The following is a 22,926-nucleotide window of genomic DNA, read 5'->3' on the forward strand; positions in this document are numbered from 1 at the left end:
CTCATCTTGAATTGTAGTTCCCATAATTCCTACATGTTGAGAGAGGGACCTGGTGGGAGATAATTGAATCATGGGGACAGTTTCCACTGTTCTGTGGTAGCGAATAAGTCTTATGAGATCTGATGGTTTTATAAGTGGTTTCCCCTTTCTCTTGGCTCTCACTCTCTCTTGTCTGCAGCCATGTAAGATGTATATTTGCTCCTTCTTTGCCTTCCGCCATGATTGTAAGGCCTCCTCAGCCATGTAAAACTATGAGCCCATTAAACTTCTTTTTCTTTATAAATTACTCTGTCTTTATTAGCAGTGTGAGATCAGACTAATATACCTCCTACATTTATGACTGGGGCCTCTGTAACAAAAGACAGATTAACAAGAGAAAAAGCTTACAAATTTATTTAATACAAGTTTTATGTGACGAGAGAGCCTTCATAAGGAAATGAGGATCTGAAGAAACAGTTAAATGGGAGTGTTTTTAATAATAGGTTTGATAAGGAGGGGAAAGTCATGGAGAAATATCACAGGGCAGAGAGTACAATGTAAGTGTGGTGAACTGGGGAAGCTTAGCAAGGCTTGTTTTTCTGGATTCCTCTCTGTCTCCTTTTGTCTTGAGAGATAAGGATGCCCCTTTCCTCCAGCTACAGGAAGGGCAACTCTCACACGAGGGTCTTATGACCTGCTTCAGAAGGTCAGAGTCCTTCCCAAAGTTTATGACCACTTCAGGGGACCGCCTCAGGGGACCTTCCTGCTTCTGCTGTTTTCTCAAATTCCTCTAGCTTAAAATATTCAACATGCCAAAGTGCCATATTGTGGGGCAGTATGTCCTGAACCCATGATTTTTTAACACCAAGTCTTCTCTTCCCCTTCTTGACTGCTGCAGAGATCCTGTGTTTCCTTTAAAGGCCCGGTTCTAAAGTCATCTCTCGTGTGATGCCTCCCCTGAGTCGCCAGGGACGGCCGCTCTGTTCCCGGTCACTTTGTGCATGTATAGCATCATCACACAGTGCTGTAGCATATGCATCTGTGTGAGTACACATCTGTCTTCTCCGAGATTGCGAGTGCCTTGGGAAGAAGCACCGAGTGTTCTTCATCTCAGTCTCCCCTGTCCCTTGTACGGTGTCTGGCTGAAGCTAGAAAGTCAGAAAGTGCTGGTCAAATGAATAATTCATTGAGAATGGATGAATGGGCGTCCAGGACCCTTCCTCACTTTGAAATCTCTGTGGCAGTGGGTTACATAGGTTTAAGAACATTGATCAGAGTCTTGGCCTAGTTAAATTGATCTGATGGTCTCACCATCCAAACGGCACTTACCTTCCAAAGCTGTGCTTTCTCTGAGAAGCTGTCTCCATTCCATCACTATGGAGGATCGTGCATGATGAAAAAGAGATACTAACAGGAAAACAGCATCAATCAGTTGTGGAGCCTGAACCGAAGACCTGAGTGAGATGGATAAAGTGAGGAAGGAGATAAGGACCCCCCACCTGACCTGTCAGGCCAACCCTGGAGGTCAGTGGAGTGAAAGATAAGACGGCCAGATTACTCACATCTGAGGGCAAACTCATTTAAAACTACAGTGGGCAAAGTTTAGGTTAGAGCAATTAATTCCCACAGGAGGGTCCCAGAACTGGTAGCATGGAAGTCAGATCATAGGATTTCCTTTTCTGCAGTTCTTAGAGAGGCTACCACTTCTCTCCTCCTCCCCCCCAACCCCCACACCCTTCATCCATGTCAAGTATGTCAAGTGGCTGTGGGGCTATCCTTCCTGGAGGCAAAGGGAGAGAGGCTGGGACCTCCAGCAGCCAGGGCTTCTGGGGCTCTCCCAGCATCCTGCTGCCAAGATACTGGGCAGACCACCAGGGACTGCCTTCTCCAAGTCCCCAGTCCAGGCACAGCGGTGTCAGTCATTAAAGCTCATTTCTTCCTGTTATTAGCAGAGACGAGTGTCATGTGCGGGGAGGTGAAGCGCGCTTTCTGGCTGTAATCCTTCCCTCCCCGTGGCTGTGAGGCAGAGCCAGGTGCAGAAAGCAGCTGAATTAAACAAAGTCATGGGAGTAGGGGCAGAGAGGGACGGTGTAATAGGAAGGAAATGCTCACTCTGACAAAAGGAAATCAAAGCCCCAAATGATCCCGCAGGGAGGAAAGGTGAACAGGAGGGAAATGAAATGGAAAAAACCAACAAATTGGAAATCGGGCACAGAGGTGGAGGGAAGGAATTGGAATGCTCTCGTGCTGGGATGCAGCTCCCCAAAGAGCTGATCTCTCTGGAAAGGACCTGAGAGCCAACAGGTGTGCGTTGTATTTCCATGGAGTGAAGGTAGCTTGGTCTGCTGCCACTTCATCAGCAAAAAGGTGGCCCAAGCGGAGGCCTCTCCTGGCCTGTAATTCTTCCCTAGCAGCCACTGTAACCTGAAAAGACTGGTTGATTCTCCTGCCAACAGTGATTTCCTGGTAAGGCTGTCTGGGAACCCTTGAAAACATTTCTCATCTTGGCATCGGTGAAAGTGCTGGTGGCCAGACATATCTGTACACACTGGAGGACAAAGAACCCAGAATGCAGGGTGGACTCCACCAAGCTCACACCTCAGTGGCTTACTGTCTTTTGAGGACAATGTCCCTGGGGATTCAGCAGTGTCCCATTTGGAAGACAAAAGGTCCGGTGGCTCATGCCTGTAATCCCAGCATTTAGAAAGGCAGAGGTGGGGGGATAGATTGAGCCCAGGAGTTTGAAACTTGCCTGGGCAACATAGTGAGACTCTTTTATCCACAAAAAGCAAAAAAAAAAAAAAAAAAGACAAACTAAAAGGGAGTGTTCTTCCTAATAATATGTTTTTCTAGGCACAAGTCTCATCTCCTCCTCTGGAAAAGCCTGCCCTACACGTTCAGTCCCGATAAGTTCTCCACCTCACCCCTCTAATTTTCTATTAACCCCACCCCGCCCACACATACGCAGCCTTTTCACCCCTTCTGCCTTTTCAGCGTCCTTCACACTACTGAATCTCTGGCTTCCACCTCTGCCATTAGGAAGCTCTTCCTCCTCTTGCTCTCCACTTTCTCTTGCAAGTTGACCCAGCTTTCTCTGGAAGCCTCTGCACAGGCTACCTGGGCAGGCCCCAGCATCTGCACATGCTTCACTGCAGCCCTCTGGGCTCCTTTATGAATGTCATTAAGTCTCTTTCTGGTGTTTCTTCCAGCCTGCCTTAATCTGAGGGCCCCACACGAGCCGGCTCAGGCCTCCTCTTCCTTCGTACCTCCCTCGAAGCCTGGGATTCTGGGCAGTGAGTGCTCCAGCAGCTGACTGACTCCCATGGGTCTGAACACCACCAGCCAGACAAGGCTTTCAGCGCTAAATGACATACTTTGGGGGCAGCAGCTATGATGTCACCTTTATAAACCCACATGCTGGACTCGGAGCTGTCATATTGTCTACTAAATCCCTCAGAAGGAGGAAGTCTGAATCGAGATGGATTTCAAATGTTCGTTTCCAGTCAAACGGACTTAAAACTGTGCATGTGAGGAGGAGTTCAAGGAAGTCAGCCTTGTTCTCCTGGAGGAGAAGCCTCGGGGTTTCATGCTAGTCGCCTTTCAGCAGGAGCCAGGCTGTCGTGGAGGGGAGAGCTGAGACTCCATCCTGTTGCTCCATGGGGTAAAAGCAGAGCCAGTTGTTATCAACCCAATGTGGACAGACTCCAGCTCAACAGAAGAAAAGCCAGGGACCTTGAGACCCTCTGAGCATCCTGTAGCTGTAAGGGTATAAGTGAAACGTTGCCCAACTTGTAGAGGAGATTTAAACATGGAAAGGGGAGAGAAGAAGGCATTGGAGGGGAGAGAAATGAGAGTGGACCAGATGGCCTTCAAACTCTTTCTAGCCCTGAAGAATCTGACCATTACTATAGAAAGAAAATGGCGCAAAACAGCAAGAGACTTCAAAGCCCCTGAGAACAATTGTCCTAATGATGGAAGTCTGGAGAGGACTCCAGAAGTCATTTTCTACAATCTCCCCATCCCCAGGCAGCCTTGCCCCACTGTGCATTTATCACCAGCCCAGAGATTTCCACTGGAGCTAGCTGGAATTTCTACAAGGCAGCAGCCAGAGGTGGTGGTGGGCTCTGTGGCAGCAGGTGGAGAGGAAAGGCTCTTTCTGGGCTGAGCATCAAGCTGGAAAAAACATTGCTGAAGACCCCACCACCAGCCCTCAGGTCTATTGCAGATGCACCTCTCTGTGCTGGAGGGAGAGAGCTTGGCGAGGGAGCTCAGTTGGAAGCGGTGAAACAAGCATCATTCTATTGTTGAGCTGCCTCGCCAGCTGCTGACAAGGGAGGCTTTGCAGACAGACTGAACCTATGGAGAGATGAAAGTCGCTCAGATATAGACACACACACTCCCAGAGTTTCCTGTGCTTAAGCTGTTTGGAAGCTCTTGTCATACGCACCTCGAGCAAAGAGAAAGGAGGCGAGCGGGAATGACTGCTGGAAGTTGAGCATGTTTCCCCAACGCTGGCGCTGCTCTGTAATTCTCCTCCTTCACTAAGGAAGCTTTCTTTCAAAATAATTGGGGAGTGGCATGACTCACAATCACAGTGCCTTCACTCCCCGAGGAACAAGAAGTTAATGGGCTTGCTGTAGGGTGACTAGGGGAATTTGCCCCTCGGTGGGGATCTTCCCAGACCCCCCGGGGACTGCCGCGTGCTAGCTAATGTGGGCCAGCACCAGTGTGAGGCCAGCCCTCTGAGCCTTGGAAGCATCTGGTGAGCTTTGTGCTCTCTGTGCAAGTGGTTGGCATCCTATAGGCATAACCGTAGGCTTTCAGAGTGGGCACAGGCCAAATGTCCTCCCCATGGTGGAGATTAACCGGGCTGGGATCCCATTACAGGAGAGTCTGTGATGCTAGTTAACTCATGCTGGTTCATCTGCTCATCTTGGCTCTGCTGTCACCTTCTCAGCCCCCTCCCTGTCTCCCTTAATTTGATCATCTTGGCCCCCTCCCCTGTCGGGGCTAGAGGCTGCCCCAGGTCCCCATCCTCCCAGACTTACCTTCATCTCTGCTGATCACACAGCACACTCTGTGTCTTTTTATTTTCCTGCCTCATCCAGTAGGTTCTGAGATCCTTGAGGGTCCTCTCCACACTTTGTTAAACCAAGAATACAAATTGCTCAAAAGCAGGGCAGGGCTGGGTCCAGGGTGAGCAAGGAAGGCATCCAGGGTGCAAAATTCAAGGAGATACACACTCTCGGGCTTCCACAAGCCCAGGTGGGCCCCTGAGAATGAATGCCTCCTGAAAACACTGGAAAACACCAGGTTGGGCTCACTGGAGTCCTGGCCCTGGGGCACGGAAAAGGAAAGAATATTAATTGTTAAAAACCAACCATGTAGAGACACTACACTATTTCACTGATCCTCAAAGTAATCCTGTAGAATAGGTACTGACAGCTTCATTTACACATAAAGAAAATGAAGCTCGGTACAGTTTTGCACCTTGACAATAGTCCCAGAACTAATATCACAGACCCGGAACAAACCCCAATCTTCCTAACGCGGAGGCGCATCAGACTGCCTCCAGCAACCGTCCGCAGCTGCTGTCCCATGTCAGAGAAGAGTGCCTCTGAACGGGTGTCCTCTGAGGGGACAAAGGGCTTGGCCTCCTGGACATGAGGGTAGGTGGAGCTCTGCCCAATGCCCCCAAATCCTGACTCGGCAGGTGTGGCTGGGCCTGGGAATATCTGTGTTTGCCAAGGTCCCTAGGAGGCGCCCATGCACCGTCTGGTGGTGGGGACGCTGCACTGCACCAACTTCCATGTAGGGCCAGAAAGTCCTCCCTTAGGGCCACCCTAACTCACAGGCCTTTCACTGCAGCCCCTCCCCTCTCACCCAGGCCTCCGCGGAGTCCCCCTGCAGGAGCTTCCTGCCCGGGGCTGTGCCGGCTGCCAAGTTGTGCTGCTGCCGGTGCTCGGATGGACCCCGGGGAGCAGCAGCCACTGCTCAGAGCAGTCTGTTTTGCCTGTTGCCGGAGGCTGGGGGGTGCAGGAGCAGCCCTGGAGGGGCTTGGCACTATCAGTGGCGGAGGGGTCTGTGTAGACTCAGAGACAGATGTGGCAGGCAAAGATGGGGGACTTTGTCAGCAGCCCTACTAAGCCTAGATAGTTCTGCGTCCCCAGGCCCCACCCCCCGGCTCCTGCCTTTACTCCTACACCCCCTTTCCACCAGCATCACCACTGAGGGGGGCAGCCCAGCCGGCTTCGGCACCAGACAGGCAACGGCAGGAAGCACAGAGGAAACACCAAGGGAGAACAGGTACCCAGGGCAGCCGGAGTGGGCCTCGCACACCCCCACAAGCAGAGTCCCTGCAGCAGCAGAGCCGTCGGTGGCATCAGGGCGGCCAGCTGTGCCCCAGGTTTCCAGAGTGGAGAGGAAGGGACCCCACACTCGGGATGGGCTCCAGGGTGCTGCGAGCAGCGGGTGGCCCCGCTTGGAGCCAATCTGCCTACCTGGAGCAACCTGCCTACCAAAGACCAGAGTCCCACCCAGGAAATCAGGCCCCAGAGAGGATGTACCCGCACCCTGCCAGCTGCTGCCACACTCATCACCTCTCTCTTGTGACTTAAGTCTTCAGGCCGCAGTTCTCAGCGCCCTTCCTGCCCCACAGGCTGCCTCCAGCCCAAACTACACAGCTTCCAGAAAGCGTTCTCCTGCCCAGACCCCTGCCCCTTTGAACACAGGACAACCCCTCACCTGGCATCCCCGGGCACCCATGATCTGGCCCAGATCTCCTGGAGGGTTCACCACTGATCCTCCAACACAGCCACATCTTCCCATCTCCCGCCTACCTCCCCTGCCTCTTGGTTCTGCTCTTCATCTGCCCACATCTGACATATCTTCAGGATCCATTTCAAATCCTGCCTCTCCTCCTCTTCCTTCTCTTATCCCCTAAACCTTTGGCCTCCTGGAGCCCTTTGCCTGTGGCATTTGCATCACTCCCCATATACCCCAGACTAATCTATGAATTCCTTAAGGGCAGAGACAGAGCTGTCCTCAGCATTGTGCTTCCCTACACACACCAGCCTCTGCCATGCCCACAGCTCCTCCCACACACATAAAGCCATCAAGCCTCTTTCTTCAGAGGACCTCCACAGGCAGGAAGTCCTGCCTCATATCCAGCCCAATTCCACCCTGCTCAGGGCTCATTTTCATTCCTCAGTGAAGATGGAGAGCAGTGGATTATCTTCCCCTAAATAATAACCCTTCCTAGGCTTTCACACTATTATTAAATCACCTTTAAGCCACCTTTCTTCTTCAGGCTAAAGAATCCCAGTACTTTTCATGTTCCTTCAGAACGTGACTCTCTGCCCTGTAATTAGCTTGGCAATACTTTTGAATTCTCCCCAACTTCTCCACACCCAGAAAGAAGAAGTGCCTTGAGAGGGGACCAAAAGGAACTGTGTGGAGGGTCTACGATGTTCCAGGGATCACCCCTACTACATTTAATCCTTCTAGCTTGCTGCTCTTCACCCCAATTTACAGATGAGGAAACAGAGGCTCAATATGCTCAGCAGGGCTTCTCAACGTTAGCTGACATGTTGGTTCAGATGATTCTTTGTTGAGCAGGCGCTGGCTATGCCTTGTAGGACGTTTAGCAGCATTCCTGACCTCTACCCACTTGATGACAGCAGTAACTACCCCCCCCCCCACAACACACACACACAGTTGTGACTACTAAATATGTCTGCAGACATTGCCAAATGCCTTCTGAGTGTGAAATCACCTCCAGCTGAAAACCACTGGGTTAAAGGAATTTTGCAGAAATCAATCAACTTGTAAGTAACAGACACTAAATTCAGATCTGTCAGCTTCAAATAATTTTCTTACTTCTACCCCCATACAACCTCCTAAGACAAAGTCTCATCTGAGAAAGTAATAGGAAAATGTCACTATGTTTTCCACTTTTATCACTCCTTACCCCAACATTTAATCTTCTATATGTGTCACTGGGATCAACTCATAGATGATTCTGCTCCGAGTCTAACCCACACTCTCCAAGTTTACCCACACTCAATTTGAAAGCATTAGCTTGGGTGCACCGTAACCACAGGAACTTTCTTTTTTCCAATCAATTGCTCAGTATCACTTATTTCAGGCCTGCTGCAGAGAACTAGCAGAGAAAATGGAGAACAGACCCTCCTCCTCCAAGAGCAAAAGGTCCAACTTGGGAGCCGGGGATACACATGAGGAGTTCTAACACTTACTGACAAATGCACAGACCATTCTTGCACAATTCCCAGCAGGCTATCAGAAAGCAGGAACACTGAGTCCACTGAGCAGTTGCTTAGACTAAAGATGCCAAGCAGTCAGTGCAAGGAGTTAGCTAAGACCAGCCTGTGGCAAGGTGGAGATGCTGCCATCAACCGAAGCAGATGAATGTTGTGGACTGCACGTCGTGACGGGGACATGTGTGCTGATGGGATGCAGGGTAAGGGAACCAGGTGTCCACTTGCTGCCGTTGCTATTTCTGTGCTCCAGACCAGCCTGGGGAACTGAGCTCTGCTCTGAAGCAGGCTCCTACTCCCCTTCCACCTCCTATTCCAGGTGTCAAGGGTGGGAAAAACATACCAGGTTGGAACATCTTGAACTTCCCACCGGTTGTTCCAGGCATTCGTCCGAAGCCACGTCAGGCCTAATGCAGTTCCTTCATCTCTATACACCTGCCAAATCTGATTTATTCTTCAATATTTGCTTAAATGCTGCTTCCCCCTTCTCTCCTTCAGTCCCCACCACCCACTCTCTACTCTGGCCAAATCAGTCTGCTGATCTTATCCCATCACAATTTCCTATTAACATTCCTTTTTCTTATTTATTCTTTCAACATATGGCTTTTCAGACTCTACTCTGTACCAGGCACTCTTCTACAAAGCTGCTGTAACTGCTGCATCCTCAGTACCTGGAATAGTGCCTGGTGCAGAGTAGAGGGAGACACTGACATTCTGGTCATGATTTCCATCTGTGCTTTGGCCTCACACACTGCATCTTAAACTTTAAAAACTCAGCCTTTGCTTCAGCCTTAGGTCATACCTCACCTCTTCCATGGAGCCCTCCTTCAACTCAAGCAGGGTCGGTCACTCCTCATGCTGGACTTTACTGTGAGCCATGCAGTTGATGCGTATCAAACATGACATTTTCTTCTCTTTCTGTGTCTGTCCTCTCTCCCAATGTAAGATCCCAGGAGGGTGAGGACTCGTCTGTTTCGCCTGTATGGTTCTGAAGCACCCAGCAGAGTTTTGCCACAGATAAATAATAACAGCATGTTAGGAAAAAATAACAACTAGCATTCATTGCATGCTTATAAAGGACCAACTACTGTTCAAGATACTTAATAAGTATCAGCTCACTTGATCCTGACAACAAGCCTATGGGGTTGGTAGGAGCTCATGCAGGAAGCACAAACACAGGTGGAGGTGGCTACAGTGGCAGTGGCGGTGGCAGCAGAACTGATAATACCATGTGCCAGGATGAGCAGAGCCGGTGGGTTACAGAACGTGGGCTTTGGAGGAAGACCTGGATTGGAGGCCTGGCTCCATCATCTATCAGCCGGGTGACCTTGGGCAAGTGACTTCTCTTCCCTTGGCTTCATTTCCTTCACTATAAAATGAGGATAATTCCAGCACCCGCCTCACAGAGCACAGAGGTGTGTGACAACTCTATGAGCTGTGCAGACCACGCACCTCCAGCACAGAGCCTGACATTGGTCTCAACAGTCAGCAGATGGGAGTGTTTGCTGTTGTTATTGTTGTTGTTATTATTGTATCCCCCTTCCAAGAATCACCCACACCTGTTTTCTGTTCCATCCTGCCTCAGCTTCCCATCCCCCGATTACCCTCCTTCCACATCCTCAATCAGGTAGAGGAAAATCTGAGTGCAATATACTGAGAAGACACTCTTCAGTCACTACCTTATTCCTCCTCTTCCAACAAATGAGCCCTGAAACAAATAGATCCCAGATGTCACGACTTATGTATAAAAACCCAGGACCTTGGGACCAGAGAGGGAATGGAAGCTCTGCTTGGGTGCTGAGAGAGCACTGAGGACTCAAAGATATGCAAATCCAAGGGGGCAGCTCAGGAAGCCGGGCTACATGTGAGATTGTTATCATCTCTTTTCTGCTACTGCAGCGATGATGATCGGCTGAGCTCTTTCATTAGAAATCTGATGCTGCTGTTGAAAAAAAAAAAGAGAGAGAGAGAGAAATACACAGCAGCCTCAAAATGTGGGCACAAAGCGGTCTCCTGGGGAAAGCAGCTTTATTTGTGTCGGCTACGAGTACTAAGGTCCTGTTCATCCGCTGTTTATTTGTGCTGTTTTGTTCCCCAGCACATGACCTTTATTCCATCCACGTTTTGCAGGGTACCAGGAGTGCTAAACTCTTTGCATTTCTCCTGCATTTACAGCAGTTGGGATCTATGGCAGCCTCCTTCTTCCTGGCTTTCATCTCTGCATCCCTCCATTTCTGCCTGCAGCAGTGAAGCATCAATTATACACTCCAATTATGTGATTACACATATTTTCACTAATTAATAATTCTTGCCACTCATCCTGCCAACTCCCATTGGAGGGCTTCAGAGGGCACTGGAGAGGATAACTCACAGCTCTGCCACCTGGGAGGGAATGAGCAAGGCCTGAAGAATTCCTGATATGAAAGGGAAACTGAGGCACCACAAGGTACTTCCTTGTGACAGAGGCAACCACTGAATCCAAGACTTGCCTTTGTCTTGATAGGGGATTTGCTTGAGCAAATAGATCCATTTGATGTTGCTGCTGCCTGAAGAGGTGGCAGGAAGAAGAAAGTAGTTTAGCCCAGGGGTAGCACTTTGTAGGTGTTAAATTGGCTATCATTAAGGCTCAAATTTCTTCTTACTTATAGAAATCTGGATTTTGGGGGTTACATACCATAGTGTGTCCTCCCCTCTTGAGACTCAGTAGCATGCTGTGAAGAAAAGTTACTCTGTGATTTGGATAAAAACATAGCTCTGTTCCCCAGAGTCATACAGGAATGAGAAGGCTGAGGCCTGGGAGGTGACCCAGTCCAGCCTACTCCATTTTCAGAGACAGAGGCTTGAAACCCAGTGCCATTAAAAATGACAAGCACACCTCAATCTTACGTCCGTTGTCAAATTTAATCATCAAAACAATACCGTCGGGTAAATTTTACTGCCCTCATGTTACAGAGGAAGCTGAGGTCTAAAGAGTGACTTGCCCAAGGTCACACAGCTTATAGACAGAACTGTGACTAAGCCTAGGTTTCAGAACATCCCAAAACCAACACCGTTTTGATTGTGTCATGTTGAGAATACAGCCAATTAGTGGCAGAAGACTCCAGCACTTTGACGCGTATGACAAATCTGTGAGCTCTTGGAGTAGAAGATAAGCCAATCTGACAAAGGGAACAAGACATTCCACACTTAAGTTGAGTCTTCCTGAAGCCAAATTTCACTTTCATTGATGCAGTCAGACAAAAGTCCTAGTCATTGAAAAAAAATCAATCAAAGCAGTTTTCAGATGCAGCAGACTGGTCAATTGCTGGAGCTGATCAGTTCAGGTCAAACAGGTCATGCAGACTGAGTTAAAGCCATGATGCCGGCAGGCTGAGTGATGTCAAGGTTATGTCTCCACACCCAACGGCAGAAACCTCGCTCAACTTGGTCCAACCATCAGTTCATGCGCCCTCTTCTCCCACTTCCCCGCTGCATGGGGCCACAGTCAGCAGAGAGATCTGGGCATGTTTGTGTACCTCAGCCCCACTCCCACCACAATGGGGAGACAGAAGGTCAGGACCTGTTTTATACTGAGTCTGCTGCCAAGGGCAAAGTTGGCTTCAGTGGACTTAGGCAGGTTCAGAACTTATACCCAGGAGAAAGGCTTATACCCAGGCAGGCTCAGAACTTATACCCAGGAGCAAGCAAACCTAATGAAAGGAGATGCATCTCCAGGTCTGCCACTCTATCAAGCCTCCACCCCACAGGTACCTGGCCTGCAGGGGAGGCAGCCTCCAGCCACACCCTGAACCATTTGCATCACACGAACAGGTCTGAATCCTGCCTGTCACTTTCCCCAGCTGCCTAGTTCTGGAAAAAATGACAGAATCCCAGCATTCCACATTCAGCTCAGAGATTGGATGTGAGCTCTCTGGCAGCTTTTTATCAGTCCTTTTCATAGAACTGACTTGCTAGACTGTGTATTAATTTTCTGTATAATCTTCTATTGACTCTTAGAAGTTGGGAGAGTTGGTATTAAGATGCTATGATGCACAAAAAGATATACAAATGGCCAATAAGTACATGAAAAGACGTTCAACATCTTTAGTCATCAGGGAAATGCAAATTAAAAGTACAATTAGATGCCACTACCCACTCATTAGATGGGCTAAAATTTTAAAGAATGAAATTACAAATGTTGGCAAGGATGGGGAGCACTGTGTACGTCCTGCATGGCTCCTTTAGGTGGACTCTCCTACATTGCTGGAGGGAGCAGAAAATGGTGCAAAAACCACTTTGGCAAAATAGGCCCATTCTTAAAATGTTAAACATAACACTTCTCTTAAGACCTAACGATTCCACTGCTCAATATTTACCCGAGAGACGCGAAAACATATGTCTACATAAAGACTCATACATGAATGTTCATAGCGAGTTTATTTGTAATACCCCCAGCTGGAAGCAACCCCAATGCCCATCAATAGCAGGTGAATGGATAAATAAATCCTAGCATAGCTATACAATCAATGGAATATTACTCAGGAGAAAAAGGAACAAACTACTAAATGCAACAAAATGGATGAATTTCAAAAAAAAAATACACCAAGTAAAAGAAGACAGACACAAAAGAGTATATATTATATGATTTCATTTATATAAAACTCTAGAAAAGAGAAATCTAATCTATAGCGACAAGAAAGTACATCAGTGATTGCCTGGGACCATGAGTCGTGGGGAGATTGAGTAGGACTGAGTACCAGGGAAGCCAGGGGGTAATGGAAATGTTTATATCTTGATTGTGGTGGTGGTTACATAAGGGAAAACATCTGTCAAAACTCACTGAGCTCTACACACATAAAATAGGTCTATAAATTATACTTCAGTCGAGTTGGGGAAATGCCACGTATAAGACTATTACAAACAACCTTAATTTTGGATTTAGAGAAACACCTTTAAATTAATAACATTTAAATCTAACCCAAATTTGTAATTAAAAGAACAAATGTCAAAAAAAAATTAAAAGAAGAATACACACACACACACGCACACACACACACACAAAGATGCTATTATGATGGACTCCATCCTGGCTACCCAGGAATAACTGAAAACTATCCCCAAGAAGAATCCTTAAAGAGATGGAATGGATACAAAGGAGGAAAAGCAAGACAAAGAAATATGTTTTTATCAGACATAGTTTTGTCCTCAACCCACTGCAGAACTCTGGTCAGAGCTGGACACTGTCATGTGACAGCACCATTGCTAGACCAGGCAGCCTGGAAAGCCATAAAAACAGATAAGCCCCAACCCCTCCTCCTGCTCCTGGTGCCCAAGCCCAAGCCTCAGAGTCTGCTCTTCCTACGTAAGCCACATCCACCAGCACCAGTGGAAAAGGAACCAGAGAGGGGCATTCATGCACTCGGGTTGATTTCATCCTCTAGGGCATCACCCACTGGCACATACAGCCTAATACATGTCCAGTGAATCCTTAGTCTAAAATGGGGTTCACAAATTCAAATTCCTACAGAGGCCTACTAGGGAAGGTAAGTAAGTGGATGAAGTGGGCCCACGGAGAGACAAGAGGAAGGGGTGGGGACTGGGGTGGACCCAGGAACGCACAAGTCTTGTGTAAGAGGAGCACCATGCTTCAGGGCCTACATTCCCACATGATTGGTAATGTCCAGTGTAATCAGGCCTCCTGATTTTTCAAGATAAGCCAAAAATTCAAGCTTTTCTGTAAACTGTTTCAATTTTAAATATCGACAACAAATCCAAAAAATTTGAAATACGGTATGGGCCAAACAAAACACATTCTCAGGCCAAAGGCCAGGTTGTGATAAGGCCCTAGAGGTCAACGTCCCCTTGGGGCAGGAACCACAGCAGAGCCCAAGAGCTGTATTCTCCACTGAAAGGATTTGCTTTAACCTCCTGGTCAAGGCATAAATCCTCCATTCAACATTCCAAGCAAGCGGTTTTCCAGCCCATCCTTGAAATCTCCAGTGACTGGGAGATGGACCTGGGATTGTGTGCTCTCTCCCCTGCCCTCTTCCGCTGGCTCTGACCATTCCTTTAGGACTCAGCCAAGATGTTACCTATTCCAGGAAGCTTTCTAGGATCCCAATATCTATATTAGAGACTCTCCATCTATGTGTTCATGGCCCCCTAGACCTCTCTTATCTCAATTCTCTCCACGCTGCATTACGTGTCTGTCTTCCCACTAGGCTGAGAGCTCCTGAGAGCCAAGGCTGTATATACAGTGGTTAACACACACAGTTCGTATATCAACTGGCCTTTTTTTTTATTGCAAGTCATAAAAACTCCATCAGACTCTCTTAAGTACACAGAAAATGTATTCTCCATAAAAGTGGCCAAGAAGGCGTAGGCCGAATTCAGGCACAATTGAGTCTGGGGTTCACATGATGTCAACCACTCCTGCCTCACCCCACCTCTCCCCTGCACTCAGCTTCCATCTCCTGCCCAGGCAGTAGCAAGATGGCAGCCAAAGAGAGACAATCCAAAATGCATAAACATCATTACTAATCCCTTTTATTGAACAGAAAATGGAGGCACAAAGATGTGAAGTAACTTGCTCAAGATCACACGAGTATGAGGTGAAAAAGTGAGGGAACGAAGGAAGCAGTTGGCTTCCAGAACTCATGCATTAAACACGTTATAATTCTGCCCCCCAAAATATGCCTTTTTCTTGGCCAGTTCCAAATGTGGCCCCTTATGGCCAGGCCACCATCGTCTAGATGATATTTGGTTGGTGCAAATGTAATTGCAGTTTTGCCATTACTTTCAATGGCAAAAACCACAATTACTTTTGCACCAGCCTATACAATTAACACCCTGTCCCTGTCCCCTGAAATGTCAACAGCATAGAATGGTAGAGGAGGAGCAGAATAACTTCAATTAAAGGAGAATTGCACAGAGGGCACCCGCCCACAGCACAGCGGCAGTGCTCTCAGTACCTGGCAGGAAGCAAGGTTCTTTGTCCTTCAGCGTATTTTCCAGGAGAGCTCCCTTGCCCACTGTCTCTCCCAAGCCCACATTTGGGATGGGCGACAGGGAAGATGCAACTTCTGGGAAGCAGCTCTCTACTGGATGGGGTAGTGGGGACCTGAGGATTGATTGCCTTAAATGATGGGCTTCTTAGATTATTTGACGGATTTGGTGTTTCTCTTGTAAAAAACTTCTCTCAGATCTTAAGTAAATGATGGGCATCTTAGGTTATTTGGCAGATTTGGTGTTTCTTTTGTAGAATAATTCTCTCAGATCTTTAGCAAGCTGTTGGTGTCCACTTCTAGCCTTCCCCATGGGTTAGTACCTGAAGCCCCAGCCCTCACTGAGCCATTGACTTTGATGTGCAACCTGGGCAGTGCTCTGCCCTTCCCCCAGCCAACAGCTTACCGGCATCCATCTGAGACTCCACCTCCAGGAGGCAATTTGAAACAATGCCTGAAGGAGGGGAGGGGATTACTTGGCTCCTTGACTCCAGCCACATCCCCTGCATTGAGTGGGGGGCTCATCACAGGAGGTGCTTGGGAAGGGTCTAGGGGATCAGTGTGTCCCCAGGTTGCTTGCTTTCCTGCCTTTATGCACACTAATTTTAGGTTGGAATCGGTCCTTTAGCTTTCCAACGCTGCATTCCTCCATACTTCTGGCTGCTGTGAATTTCAGGTCATAGGCAAGAGGTGCCTCTCTCAGTAAAGCTTAATGTAAATGCCACCTGCTTTCAAACCAGCCATTTTCAACCTAAGCTTGTCACTTTTTAATAGGACCTTACTGAAGGTCACTTCTGTTTAGCAAGAGCTCCAACCTTTCAGCCAGGGTCCGTGAGTCCTCACCACCTGACACCTCCACTCCACTCAGCCAACAACGTACGCGTGACTTGCCACTTGCACGTTCCACTCCTGGAATCAACTTCTGCATCAATTTTGTTTAAAAGTAACAAAAGAAACCAAACTATCCCAGGTGAAAAGAAGTGCATTGATTCATAGATCTGAAAATGCCAGGGTCTGACTCCTGGCACAGCTGGGTTCAGGGGCTCAATGTCATCAGTACGTGCGTGGTCTTTCTGTTTGTTGCATCTTTCTTCCATGTTTTGGTTTCTTCTCCAGTTCCCTGTGGTTGCTCAGCGTTCCAGACCCATATCCTCACCAATTAATGTCCAGCAGGTTGAAGTTAGAGCTTTGTTTCTCCAGGAGTCAAAAACTCAAAGCCACTCTCACTGGTCCAAATTTGTCATGTGTCCATCCTTGAAGGAAGAGCCTAGGAGATACAGCACTCCGATTGGCCAGGCCTGATCACACGCCTACCCCTGGAGGGGGAGTCAGGGCCTCCTACAAGGAAGGGAGTGAGGAAAGAGGATTTCTTCAGAGAGAGACTGGAGAGCAGCAACATCCCACTGGGTGAGCGGAGGCTGGGCAGTCGGAACAGCAGAAGCCTATACAATGGATGCTTAGCAGGTGTTTATCCTGGGGGTGAACAAATGAGCCACTCACCCTCTGTGCCTGAGTAGGCAAGTATTCTGGAAAGAAGATATATCTTTTTTCTTTCCTATTCAAGAAGTCTGAGCCAGCAAAAAATGCTGTGTCCTAAGAACCTGTTTGCATTTACAGTGAATTCTCAATTATCTGTCTGTGGCAGATTCTCTCTGGACTATCCAGGTTGAGTCCCGCAGCACTGCAGGTTTCTAAGCAAAAGCAGAAGGCCAGACTACATTACTTTGAACATTCCGTAATTCAGCAAGCTTTGCCTCTACTCAGGCTATCAGACAGTGCATGCTCAGGGAATGCTAGCTCACAGTCATATTTGTCCGAGCAAAGCAGACACAGGAAAGCAAGTCCACTTTTGGCAGGAAGAGGCAGAAAGTGGGACCTGGGTGGGAAGCCACAGAAACCCTCGCAGAGCCATTCCTGGGGCGAGCCCAAGCACATGAGCATACACTTCCTACATAGCTTGGGATTATCAGCCTCGCTGTCTCCAGCCACTGGCATGGATACTTGGGACCTGACCATCCTGGCCAGGTGGTCATGCTATATGACTGATATAAACTAAAGAGTGTGCATACTGGCTGGGCACAGTGGCTCAGGTCTGTAATCCTAGCACTTTGGGAGGCTGGGGCTGGAGGATTGCCTGAGGCCAGGAATTTGAGACCAGCCTAAGCAACTCAGAAAGACCCTGTCTCTACAAAAAAAAAAAAAAAAAAAATTTAGCCAGACATGTCTGTGCATGCCTGTAGTCCAAGCTACTCCGGAGGCAGGAGGATTGCCTGAGTCCAGGCATCTGAGGCTGCAGTGAGCTATGATGGTGCCACTGCACTCCAGTCTGGGTGACAGAGCAAGACCCTGTCTCTAAAATTTAAAAATAAAAAAAGCATGTGTGCTGTCGCTATTACCTACTTCTGAACTTGCTTAGGAGCCAACTGAGGTTGGATTCCCTAGAAGCAGATCCTGAGCAAAGGATACCTGGGGAAGGTATTCATCAGAGGAATGCTACATGAAGGAACCAAACAGTTAGTGGGCCAGTAGTGGGCCCCTCCCGAACAAGGAAGGGGAAGAAGACAAGAAAGGCTGTGATTTCAGGGAAGTCGTAGCCTCAGCCTGAAAAGCCTCAACCATGGAAAGCCCTGGCGTGTGAATTACATCACAGACATTCTTTTCCCATCTTAAGGCAAAGGCACTGGACTTTCCTATCCTTGCACTCTACAGGGATGGGGGAAGGGGAGAGGGTGCTAAACACCCAGGCACGTCCAGCTGTGGTGGCCTCAGGTGCCCCAGAGCAATCCTCTGAAGGCTGCAGGTGCAAGCTTTTGAGAGGTGACAGCATGCTGGCAGCCCTCGCAGCCCTGGCTCGCTCTCGGCTCCTGCTCAGCCTTGGCGCCCACTCTGGCCGCACTTGAGGAGCCCTTCAGCCCGCCACTGCACCGTAGGAGCTCTTCTCTGGGCTGGCCGAGGCCGAAGCCGGCTCCCTCGGCTTGCGGGGAAGTGTGGAGGGAGAGGCACGGGCGGGAACCGAGGCGGCGCGCCGCGCTTGCGGGCCAGCTAGAGTTCCGGGTGGGCGTGGACTTGGTGGGCCCCACACTCGGAGCAGCCGGCCGGCCCTGCCGGCCCGGGGCAGTGAGGGGCTTAGCTCCCAGGCCAGCAGCTGCGGAGGGTGCGCCGGGCCCCCCAGCAGTGCTGGCCCACCAGCGCTGCGCTCGATTTCTCGCCGGGCCTTAGCTGCCTCCCCGCGGGGCAGGGCTCGGGACTTGCAGCCCACCATGCCTGAGTCTCCCCACCACCACCGTGGGCTCCTGCGCGGCCTGAGTCTGCCTAACGAGCGCCGCCCCCTGCTCCACGGCGCCCGGTCCCATCGACAGCCCAAGGGCTGAGGAGTGCGGGTGCACGGCGTGGGACTGGCAGGCAGCTCCACCTGCGGCCCGGTGCGAGATCCACTGAGTGAAGCCAGCTGGGCTCCTGAGTCTAGTGGGGACTTGGAGAATCTTTCTGTCTGGCTAAGGGCTTGTAAATGCACCAATCAGCGCTCTGTGTCTAGCTAATCTGGTGGGGACTTGGAGAATCTTTATGTCTAGCTAAGGGATTATGAATGCACCAATTGGCACTCTGTGTCTAGCTCAAGGTTGGTAAACACACCAATCCACACTCTGTATTTAGCTAATCTAGTGGGGACGTGGAGAACTTTTGTGTCTTGCTCAGGGATTGCAAACGCACCAATCAGCACCCTGTCAAAACGGACCAATCAGCACCCTGTCAAAACAAACCAATCGGCTGTCTGTAAAATGGACCAATCAGCAGGATGTGGGTGGGGCCAGATAATAGAATAAAAGCAGGCTGCCTGAACTCACAGTGGCAACCAGCTTGGGTCTGCTCCCACGCTGTTGGGGCGGGGGCGGGGGGGGGGTTGTTCTTTTGCTCCTTGGGTCCACACTGCGTTTATGAGCTGTAATATTCACCGCAAAGGTCTGCAGCTTCACTACTAAGCCAACGAGACCACAAACCCACCAGGAGGAACGACAATTCCAGACGCGTGGCTTTAACAGCTGTTAACACTCACCGCGAAGGTCTGTAGCTTCATTTCTGAGTCAGCGAGACCACGAACCCACCAGAAAGAAGAAACTCCGAACACACCCGAACCTCAGAAGGAACAAATTCCGGACACGCCGCCTTTAAGAACTGTAACACTCACCACAAGGGTCCGCGGCTTCATTCTTGAAGTCAGTGAGACCAAGAACCCACTAATTCCGGACACACTTTGACCAGCAGAGCAGGCAGAAGTAAAGCCACGGTTCACAGAAGTGGTGAGGGGAATACGTGGGTCCTAGGCGGACGCTGTCTATATCTGGTACAGGGGCAAAAGCACAGAGGTGTTCTCCAATTGCCCCAAGCCCCGCAGGAGCAGGCACAGAGGGAAGTGAGGGCTTCCAGTCCCCTGGGCCCCTAATTTCTGAATAGTTCCCCGATCCCCCACCTCACGCTCTTCCTGATGTCTGGTCTTTTTCTGGTTCCGTGTCTAGGCTGCCCCGGCTGGACACAGGCTCAATCTTGCTGGAATCTGTCCTCTTACTCCCCTACCCCAGCCCAGTGCCCCACCAGCGTGCTCCACTCAGCATCCTGATTTTCCCTGGAATGTGCCACTTTGCCACCATTTCCCTTTCAACAGATGGAATATAGCAAGTTCGCTTTCTGTATCAATCATGTCACAAATCATTAAGCATATCGACATCAAGCAGAGCCAGCCTGTGTAGTCGCAAAGGGGTCGGGTGTTCTTCCACTGCCGAGCAGGCAGGTGCCACTACCTCGTCCTCAACTGTCAGGAGTCCCACCCACTTGGGGGCCCCAAGCCAGCGGCCCCAACCTGCTCTTAGCTCCACAGGGTAGCACGGAGGTCATGTGATTTATCTGGATCCTCTGCAGGAACCCTTCCCCAGACCACAGCTTTAACAGCCGATCTTCAGAAGCCAGAGACAGGAGGTCCTGACAAAGGGCAGTCCAGCTCTGCATTCATCTAACAGCAAAAGCTGGTTGCACAGCCACCCAGGGCTTCCACAGGTGCAGGCTCAGCCCATCTTCAAGGAGCTCACACCTTACTCCAAGATCACTTCCTCCCACTGCCCTCCTCAGGGCAGGACCACGTTCAATGATCTCATGAGAATCTCAGCGCTTTCTAACCTATCTCATTATCCCTCACAATAACCCTGTGCAGTTCATATTTTTATCAACATGTTATAGAAGAGGCCCAGGGAAGTCCAGTGGCTTGCCATTGTCACACAGCTAAAAAGTAGCAGTTGCCAGGCTTCAAACCCAAGTCTGTCTGGCTCTGCAGTCAGCACCATTCCCCATGCAGCTATAATGTATTCTTTGCCTTTCAGCTGAGGGTCTTCCTCCATAATTCTGCTCAAAAGTCCTCAATATAAGTGCTTTGTGATATCTACCTTAATCCCCTCTATTTGTTACTTAAACCCACTTCCTCTTTTCATTGACAAATGGACAGATGTTTGCTCACCTACTGCCTTTCCTCTTCCAGATACATTTCTAGTGTTTGCTTTTAAGCACCCATGGCGGGAGATGGAAGAGGAGAGGAGGGGGCGATCATGAGATAACAGTAGATAAAATAATGTCCCCTCAAAAATGGTGCAGAACCCAGCCGGCATCCTGTGCAAATAGTACCCACTTACACAAATCTGAGAGCTATGCCTCCTTAACTTTGTGCCTGAAGTACCTTGCTGGCATGGCTCCGGTCCAGCCCCTGACATGCACGCAGACACTCATGTGAGGTGTCTTGTCATCTTCCATCCCTGAGTCCACCCATACAGTTGCCCTAGCTCCACCTTTTCCCTGACCCCTCCCACACACAGCCTTCCATGCCTCGCTCCCACAACCCGCTCCCTCGGTGAAGTCATCTCACATGTGACGCCCCCACCTAATGTCTTCCCAGCAGCCTCCCCCAACGCCAGTGCCCTGGGTCCAAGAGCAGAATCTCAGTGTTCCTGCAGAAGTCACCATGGAAGAATAATCGTGTTGTGATTTTGAAAGGAAATTGAAATCCCCTCTTTACTGCTTTCTAAATGAACCTTATAATTTTCTCCCTGTCTACAACCTCCCTGTGCACTGGCTTCTCTGTATCTGTGTGCATATTTGTGCGAGAGAGAGTGAGCTCAGTTCTAGCAAGTAGGGCCTCTGGTGGATCCGCGGGAAGGACCCGTCACCCAGCAGGATGGAGTGTGAGCTCTGTGGCCAGGAGTCACAGTGCACAAGGCACCCTCTCCCCTAGGCACCCTCTCCCCTGCCCATTCTTAGCCCCTCGGGTTGGAGCCTCCGAAATGGAACTGGCGTGATGGAGCCTGAGTGCACCAGGAGTTTTCCCGGGTTGGATGAGCCAAGCTTGTCTGAGGGAACCAGGGCTGGAGGACAGAAGAGCAGTCCAGGGAGCAGGGCAGCAGGGAACTCTGGAAGGCAATGGGGCTGTGGATTAAAGGGTGGGAGGAATGTCCCGGGAGGCCAAGAACAAAAGGTGGTCCTAGTGGCAAACTCGCAGAAGGATCTAGAAGAGAAGTGTCAGGCAGGGGCAGGGAAAAAGAGGAGGAGCCAGGGCTCCTGGGCAGCATGGGCGATGGGCACACCTGAGGGGTGTGGCCTATTCAGAAACCCCTGACCTGTCCAGGCCTGCTCATCTGGGGAGGGTGGGAAATCAGGACCATTCTTCCCTCAGTAGGGGCAGGGAGAAGTGAACCCAATCAAAGGGTGAGCCAGGCCATCCCTGTGCTGTGAGGAGTGAGTTGGTCCTCAAGCATCCGGCTTCCTCTGGGGGCAGTGATCTTGGATACTTGGGCTGCACCTCTACCTTTTTTGACTATCCCAGAGTAGATAACTAAGACCCAAAGCTGAAAACAAAGAGCATCAAGAACCCTATACCATAAAACAATTGGGCCTTGACCACTCCTTGTGGCTTACTAAGAGGCTAGCCCAAATGCCATGGCTTCTTGCTCTTGTCTGCTGATATGTGGACCACAGGCCTCGGGGAGGGGTTGCAGCTCAAAGAGACTTGTATTAGTCCATTTTCACACTGCTATAAAGAAATACTTGAGACTGGGTAATTTATAAAGGAAACAGGTTTAATTGACTCACAGTTCCGCATGGCTGGGGGGGCCTCAGGAAATTTACAGTCATGGCAGAAGGAGAAGGGGAAGCAAGGACCTTCTTCACATGGTGGCAGGAGGGAGAAGAGAGAGCAAAGAGAGAAGAGCCCCTTATGAAACCATCAGATCTCCAGAGAATTCACTCACCGTCAAGAGAACAGCATGGGGGAAACCACTCCCACGATCCAATCACCTCCTTCCCTGGACACTTGGAGATTACAGGACCCTCCCAGGACATGTAGGGATTACAATCTGAGATAAGATTTGGGTGGGGACACAGAGCCAAACCATATCAAGACTCATTTAGAGACTGGGAAAACCTACAGGGAGGGAATTCAGAGACCAACCCCATTCTCCAGCAGTAGGCCATTTGCTTAGGCAGCAGACTTGGTGAGATGCCTTAAGCCAACCTGAACAGGGGAAAGGGCCTGCACGCCCCTTGTTGATGTGGCAAAAGATGGGCGAGTTTTCCATGGCTCAAGAGACCCTGCAGAAGGTTGTGGCTTAGGCCACTTCACTGATAACACAGCCTGTGAGGCCAGGGGACCCTCT

At 49.7% G+C, this 22,926-nt stretch overlaps 1 long non-coding RNA gene across 2 annotated transcripts, besides 2 other annotated features; it reads left to right on the top strand.

The window, feature by feature from the left end:
- Positions 6,251 to 6,856: an enhancer, noted in NCBI's record as "H3K27ac-H3K4me1 hESC enhancer chr11:119884626-119885231 (GRCh37/hg19 assembly coordinates)". NCBI's record gives its function as "activates a minimal SCP1, AML or CMV promoter by ChIP-STARR-seq in naive H9 embryonic stem cells {active_cell/tissue: H9 hESC(naive)}" and the evidence as "EXISTENCE:reporter gene assay evidence [ECO:0000049][PMID:30033119]".
- Positions 15,393 to 15,894: an enhancer, noted in NCBI's record as "NANOG hESC enhancer chr11:119893768-119894269 (GRCh37/hg19 assembly coordinates)". NCBI's record gives its function as "activates a minimal SCP1, AML or CMV promoter by ChIP-STARR-seq in naive and primed H9 embryonic stem cells {active_cell/tissue: H9 hESC(naive and primed)}" and the evidence as "EXISTENCE:reporter gene assay evidence [ECO:0000049][PMID:30033119]".
- On the top strand, positions 19,087 to 21,329 carry LOC105369527 (uncharacterized). Of its 2 annotated transcripts, none has more exons than XR_948085.4 (2): positions 19,087 to 19,536; positions 21,174 to 21,329. It is a non-coding gene; the product is annotated as an uncharacterized LOC105369527 (long non-coding RNA). The 2 variants fall into 2 exon arrangements; XR_948084.4 differs by lacking the exon at positions 21,174 to 21,329 and adding an exon at positions 19,753 to 19,930.
- Positions 21,330 to 22,926: the final 1,597 nt, after the last annotated feature.

This window comes from Homo sapiens, chromosome 11 (genome assembly GCF_000001405.40).
Source record: "Homo sapiens chromosome 11, GRCh38.p14 Primary Assembly".
Classification (NCBI taxonomy): domain Eukaryota; kingdom Metazoa; phylum Chordata; class Mammalia; order Primates; family Hominidae; genus Homo; species Homo sapiens.